At 39.8% G+C, this 8,035-nt stretch overlaps 1 protein-coding gene across 4 annotated transcripts in view; it reads right to left on the bottom strand.

Annotated features, from left to right (window-relative positions):
* The window catches only part of CENPP (centromere protein P), a 295,062-nt gene that overhangs the window by 165,031 nt on the left and 121,996 nt on the right, over positions 1-8,035 (bottom strand). The window lies entirely within an intron of this gene.

Raw genomic sequence — 8,035 nt, 5'->3', positions numbered from 1 at the left:
GGCTGCCCTGTACATCTTTTAGTTGCACCCTGGTCTCTACACACTAGATGGCAGTAACACCTGCGTCCCCTGCCCTCCACAGGTTTTTGTTTGTTTTTTATTTTGTTAAGAGACAGAGTCTTGCTCTGTTGCCCAGGCTTCAGTGCAGCAGTGTGATCATAGCACACTGTAGCCACAAACTCCTAGGCTCAAGCAATCCTCCTGCTTCAGGCTTCCAAGTAGCTGGGACTACAGGTGCATACCACTGTGCTCAGCTAATTTTTTGTGGAGACAGGGTCTCACTTTGTTGCCCAGGCTGATATTGAACTCCTGGCTTCAAGTAATCCTCCAAGCCTTAGCCTCCTAAAGTGTTAGGATTACAGGCATGAGCCACTGCATCCAGCCTCCCCTCTACCTCTATAGTTTTGACAAACAACAATTTCTCCAGAAATTGACAAATGTCCCTGCAGGGAGTGGTGGAAGGTAGGGCAAAATCTCAGCAGGTTGCAAACAACGGCTTTACAGGAAAGTTAGTCAATTTCTAAAATGACATATCTGGAAACCTAGAACAAAACTGCTACTTTTTTGAGCAAAAAAAGAGGGAAGACCATGGTATGAGTAGAGGGATGATGATAGTATGATTTTAATAATAAATGTTCACCACCAGTAGTGCTAGAACCAGCAGTGTCCCGGGTTGCAGAACTTTGCCTTGGAAATCCAGTTCCATTTATAGTCTTGGGCAAGTTACCACCTCTCTGAGCCTGCTTCCTCACCTATAAAGGGTAGGGGTGACAACACTGAACAAGGTTGCTATGAAGAATAAATGATAAAAATATATATGCAATGCTTTGTAAACCATAAACATTTACAAAGAAAAATAAAAGATCATGAAGTCCTTAAAGATAAAAGAAAACAATACTATAATAATCACTCAAAAATTAAAATATTCTAAAGTTTCAATTGCTTTAATAAACAAAATAAATTTTTCTACAATGTAACAAAAAATTGTGATATCATGGCACTTATAAGAACATATGTAAAAGTAAAAAATGTTTACTGACATTGAAAAAACCCAACATCTTGAAATTCATCATTAAAATCATAAGGTAAATACTAAGGTTAGAATAAAAGACAGATTTATCTATGATCTGAATAGTGGAGCTTAAAGTAGCCAAGTTAATCTTTTTACAAAAAGAAAAGACAAAACCAAAATTTTAAAATACTGGAAATGATTCTTGAAATCCCTGCAATTAATTCACTGAGGTTTATGTTTGTATTTTCAATCTTCCAGCTGTTAGCCATTTTTGGTTTTAAGTTTGCAAAAAACAAATCACTAATAAAAATCATAAACAACCAAAACTGCATTAACATTTACTGCCAAAAACACATTTTCTGGTGAATACAAAATATTACCCACTGGAAAAATCCATTAAAGATTGAAAACAAGTGACTTACTATTTATTGGGTTTATGAAGGACTAAATTACTGAAGTGATTTTCTTTAACTATTATGAGGTATTTAGAAGTCACTAAAACAAAAACTTTTTTTTTTTCTTTTTTTTCCTGAGATGAGGTCTTTCCACAAATTGTCCAGGCTGGTCTCAAACTCTTGGGCTTAAGTGATCTTCCTGTCTCAGACTCCAGAGTAGATGGGATTACAGGCGTGAGCCACCACACCCAGCATTCCAAAAGCTTTTTTTAAAAAATTTCAATTTTCGTTTCCCTTAAGCTACCATACTATTTCTCTTTCATTCACAATTCAATCCCTTTTTGAAAGAATTGCCGCTTGGTGCAGAGCTGAGTTCAATTCCTGGGTATCCTTGTTAACTTTCCGTCTCACTGATCTGTCTAATGTTGACAGTGGGGTGTTAAAGTCTCCCATTATTATTGTGTGGGAGTCTAAGTCTCTAATAGACATCTACAGAACTCTCCACCCCAAATCAACAGAATATACTTTTTTTTCAGCACCACACCACACCTTTTCCAAAATTGACCATATAGTTGGAAGTGAAGCTCTCCTCAGCAAATGTAAAAGAACAGAAATTATAACAAACTGTCTCTCAGACCACAGTGCAATCAAATTAGAACTCAGTATTAAGAAACTCACTCAAAACCGCTCAACTACATGGAAACTGAACAACCTGCTCCTGAATGACTAATGGGTACATAACGAAATGAAGGCAGAAATAAAGATGTTCTTTGAAACCAATGAGAACAAAGACACAACATACCAGAATCCCTGGGACACATTCAAAGCAGTGTGTAGAGGGAAATTTATAGCACTAAATGCCCACAAGAGAAAGCAGGAAAGATCCAAAATTGACACCCTAACATCACAATTAAAAGAACTAGAAAAGCAAGAGCAAACACATTCAAAAGCTAGCAGAAGGCAAGAAATAACTAAAATCAGAGCAGAACTGAAGGAAATAGAGACATAAAAAACCCTTCAAAAAATTAATGAATCCAGGAGCTGGTTTTTTGAAAGGATCAACAAAATTGATAGACCCCTAGCAAGACTAATAAAGAAGAAAAGAGAGAAGATTCAAATAGACGCAATAAAAAATGATAAAGGGGATATCACCACCGATCCCACAGAAATACAAACTACCATCAGAGCATACTACAAACACCTCTATGCAAATAAACTAGAAAATCTAGAAGAAATGGATAAATTCCTCGACACATACACCCTCCCAAGACTAAACCAGGAAGAAGTTGAATCTCTGAATAGACCAATAACAGACTCTGAAATTGTGGCAATAATCAATAGCTTACCAACCAAAAAGAGTCCAGGACCAGATGGATTCACAGCCGAATTCTACCAGAGCTACAAGGAGGAACTGGTACCATTCCTTCTGAAACTATTCCAATCAACAGAAAAAGAGGGAATCCTCCCTAACTCTTTTTATGAGGCCAGCATCATCCTGATACCAAAGCCTGGCAGAGACACCACAAAAAAGGAGAATTTTAGACCAATATCCTTGATGAACTTTGATGCAAAAATCCTCAATAAAATACTGGCAAACCGAATCCAGCAGCACATCAAAAAGCTTATCTACCATGATCAAGTGGGCTTCATCCCTGGGATGCAAGGCTGGTTCAATATACACAAATCAATAAATGTAATCCAGCATATAAACACAACCAAAGACAAAAACCACATGATTATCTCAATAGATGCAGAAAAGGCCTTTGACAAAATTCAACAACCCTTCATGCTAAAAACTCTCAATAAATTAGGTATTGATGGGACGTATCTCAAAATAATAAGAGCTATCTATGACAGACCCACAGCCAATATCATACTGAATGGGCAAAAACTGGAAGCATTCCCTTTGAAAAGTGGCACAAGACAGGGATGCCCTCTCTCACCACTCCTATTCAACATAGTGTTGGAAGTTCTGGCCAGGGCAATTAGGCAGGAGAAGGAAATAAAGGGTATTCAATTAGGAAAAGAGGAAGTCAAATTGTCCCTGTTTGCAGATGACATGATTGTATATCTAGAAAACCCCATTGTCTCAGCCCAAAATCTCCTTAAGCTGATAAGCAACTTCAGCAAAGTCTCAGGATACAAAATCGATGTACAAAAATCACAAGCATTCTTATACACCAATAACAGACAAACAGAGAGCCAAATCATGAGTGAACTCCCATTCACAATTGCTTCAAAGAGATTAAAATACCTAGGAATCCAACTTACAAGGGATGTGAAGGACCTCTTCAAGGAGAACTACAAACCACTGCTCAATGAAATAAAAGAGGATACAAACAAATGGAAGAACATTCCATGCTCATGGGTAGGAAGAATCAATATCGTGAAAATGGCCATACTGCCCAAGGTAATTTATAGATTCAATGCCATCCCCATCAAGCTACCAATGACTTTCTTCACAGAATCGGAAAAAACTACTTTAAAGTTTATATGGAACCAAAAAAAGAGCCCGCATCGCCAAGTCAATCCCAAGCCAAAAGAACAAAGCTGGAGGCATCATGCTACCTGACTTCAAACTATACTACAAGGCTACAGTAACCAAAACAGCATGGTACTGGTACCAAAACAGAGATATAGATCAATGGAACAGAACAGAGCCCTCAGAAATAACGCCGCATATCTACAACTATCTGATCTTTGACAAACCTGAGAAAAACAAGCAATGGGGAAAGGATTCCCTATTTAATAAATGGTGCTGGGAAAACTGGCTAGCCATATGCAGAAAGCTGAAACTGGATCCCTTCCTTACACCTTATACCAAAATTAATTCAAGATGGATTAAAGACTTAAACGTTAGACCTAAAACCATAAAAACCCTAGAAGAAAACCTAGGCATTACCATTCAGGACATAGGCATGGGCAAGGACTTCATGTCTAAAACACCAAAAGCAATGGCAACAAAAGACAAAATTGACAAATGGGATCTAATTAAACTAAAGAGCTTCTGCACAGCAAAAGAAACTACCATCAGAGTGAACAGGCAACCTACAGAATGGGAGAAAATTTTTGCAACCTACTCATCTGACAAAGAGCTAATATCCAGAATCTACAATGAACTCAAACAAATTTACAAGAAAAAAACAAACAACCCCATCAAAAAGTGGGCGAACGACATGAACAGACACTTCTCAAAAGAAGACATGTATGCAGCCAAAAAACACATGAAAAAATGCTCACCATCACTGACCATCAGAGAAATGCAAATCAAAACCACAATGAGATACCATCTCACACCAGTTAGAATGGCAATCATTAAAAAGTCAGGAAACAACAGGTGCTGGAGAGGATGTGGAGAAATAGGAACACTTTTACACTGTTGGTAGGACTGTAAACTAGTTCAACCATTGTGGAAGTCAGTGTGGCGATTCCCCAGAGATCTGGAACTAGAAATACCATTAGACCCAGACATCCCATTACTGAGTATATACCCAAAGGACTATAAATCATGCTGCTATAAAGACACATGCACACGTATGTTTATTGTGGCACTATTCACAATAGCAAAGACTTGGAACCAACCCTAATGTCCAACAATGATAGACTGGATTAAGAAAACGTGGCACATATACACCATGGAATACTATGCAGCCATAAAAAATGATGAGTTCATGTCCTTTGTAGGGACATGGATGAAACTGGAAATCATCGTTCTCAGTAAACTATCGCAAGAACAAAAAACCAAACACCGCATCTTCTCACTCATAGGTGGGAATTGAACAATGAGAACACATGGACACAGGAAGGGGAACATCACACTCTGGGGACTGTCGTGGGGTCGGGGGAGGGGGGAGGGATAGCTTTAGGAGATATACCTAATGCTAAATGACGAGTTAATGGGTACAGCACACCAGCATGGCACATGTATACATATGTAACTTACCTGCACATTGTGCACATGTACCGTAAAACTTAAAGTATAATAATAATAATAATAATAAAAAGAAAGAATTGCCTTACCTCAGTCTGTATTACCTTTCTATTCACATGGACCTTAATCTGTTGTGGCTGACCTAACAATTCTCCTTAATCTATTTTCCCAAAATTATCTTATACAAATAACATTAAACAATAATAGCTGATTTTATTAGTCCATTCTCACACTGCTATAAAGAAATACCTGACACTGGGTAATTTATAAACAATGTTTAATTGGCTCATAGTTCTGCAGGCTGTATAGGAAGCATGGCAGAGTCTGCTTCTGGGGAGGCCTCAGGAAGCATCCAATGATGGCGGAAGGAGAAGGGGGAGCAGCATTTCACTTGGCTAGAGAAAGGGGAGGTGCCACACACTTTTAAATGACCTGATCTCATGAGAACTCACTTACTATCATGAGAACTGCTCCAAGGGGAAAATCCGCCCCCATGATCCAATCACCTCCCACCAGGCCCAACCTCCAACATTGGGGATTAAAATTTGACATGAGATTTGGGTGGGAACACAGATCCAAACCATATCACTGATGTTTAAAGAACATTTTCAGATATTCTTCTAAATGCCTTACTTTTAATCCTCACAATAACCCTATGAGGTACTTTTACTTATATCTGGTATTTTTTTTTTTTTTTTTTTTTTTTTTTTTTTTTTTTTTTTTGGAGATAGAGTCTCGCTCATCACCCAGGCTGGAGTGCAGTGGTGCAATCTTGGCTCACTGCAAGCTCTGCCTCCTGGGTTCACGCCATTCTGCCTCAGCCTCCTGAGTAGCTGGGACTACAGGCGCCCGCCACCACGCCCGGCTAATTTTTTGTATTTTTAGTAGAGACGGGGTTTCACTGTGTTAGCCACGATGGTCTCGATCTCCTGACCTCGTGTCCGCCCGCCTTGGCCTCCCAAAGTGCTGGGATTACAGGCTTGAGCCACCACACCCAGCCTGTATCTGTTTTTTTAGGTGTAGGAGCTAAGGAAATTAAATCACTTGTGGCAGATCTGGGATTTGAATACAGCAGTCTAGCTCCATGCTTTTAACTATGATGATACACTATTTTTCTTGAAAATCTCTGTTCACTTTGAAATCACCTTTGCAAATATATCAATGAGAATATTATGACAGTAAAAAAGATCTGACTAACCTACCCTCCATCTTCCCTTTCCTTAAATTATCACTGTGCTTTTGGGCTGAGCTAACTTTGGAAGACATTTAGGCTATAGTTTAAATGTAATAGACCTTGCCCAAAACTCAGCTTATTTTGTAAAGCTAATGGAAGGCCATGAACTGGGTGAAGAGAGGAGCCCGATTCTGCTAAGGTGTAGACATAGATTGTCAGCCATTCCTGGAAATAACGTAACTATTGTAGACTGGCTTTTTGGGATACCTTTTCAGGTTTTTTTGCATGGCTGACACCTACGGCTTCACCTGGACCTTCCAATCCCATTCCTGTGGCCCCATCCAGAAGCAATTCAGCCCACAGGAGAACGGCTTACACCCCCCTAGAGATGAAATCATAGGATTTCATCTCTGCCCCAACCAATCAGCAGCAAGCCTTGCCTCCCTGACCACTTCTCCAAAACTGCCTTTGAAAAACCCCTAACCCTCAGGAGTTCGAGACCAGCCTGCCAAAATGGTGAAACCCCGTCTCTACCAAAAATACAAAAAAATTAGCTGGGCATAGTGGTGGGCACCTGTAATCCCAGCTACTTGGGAGGCTGAGGCAGGATAATCGCTTGAACCTGGGAGGCAGAGGCTGCAGTCAGCAGAAATCATGCCACCGCACACCAGCCTCCTGGGTGACAGAGCAAGACTCTCTCAAAAAAAAAAAAAGAAAAAAGAGAAAAACCCCTAACCCACAAGATGATTTGAGTACTAACTCCATCTCCCACGTGGTGTGGCCAGCCTTGTGTCTATTAAACTCTTTCTTTACTACAATGCTGCAGTCTTCATTTGTGCAGTGGGCTGGAAGAAACCCTTGGGTGGTTACAACTTTGCTAACACACATTATGCTTTTCTGGTTGTCCTTTAGTGGCTAGTGTTCCCCAATATCCTTCATTTGGTCTCTTCTCTTTATTCCCTAAAAATTTCATCCATTGTAATCATTACCTTTAGGGTGAGTCCTTCAAAATCCACATCTCAAACACTTACCTCATTCAAAAGTAGCAACCTTTCAGAAGCAAACTTAAACATCTGGTGGCATAAAACTCAATCAAAATGAACATCATAAACCATTTCCTTCGAACTCATAAGGTCCCTATTGACTCTGTTTTTCCTCCCAGCTGTGCAGGTTCTAAACTTCTAGGAGTTGCTCAGCTGATTTCTAACCTTCCTGCATCTCTACGGACAACCAGGTGCCAAGTCCTGCCCTACCTTCTCATGCTTCTTGCATCCATTCCTTCCTTTTTATTCTCAGTCACTGTATCACAATCACATTCTTGTTGGAATATGTGAAAGGAAAACAAAATCTCAGGACCCCAAATTCACTATGCCAGGGGTCTATAACCCTAGGGTCATGGACCACAACTGGTACGAACTGAAATACACAGCAGGAGGTGAAAGGTGGGCAAGTGAGTGAAGCTTCATCTGTATTTACAGCCACTTCCCATTGCTTGTGTTACTGCCTGAGCTCCATCTCCTGTC

This window comes from Homo sapiens, chromosome 9 (genome assembly GCF_000001405.40).
Source record: "Homo sapiens chromosome 9, GRCh38.p14 Primary Assembly".
Lineage (NCBI taxonomy): Eukaryota > Metazoa > Chordata > Mammalia > Primates > Hominidae > Homo > Homo sapiens.
Note: the sequence above shows the minus strand (reverse complement) of the source record. Positions and strands in the feature narration are given on the sequence as shown.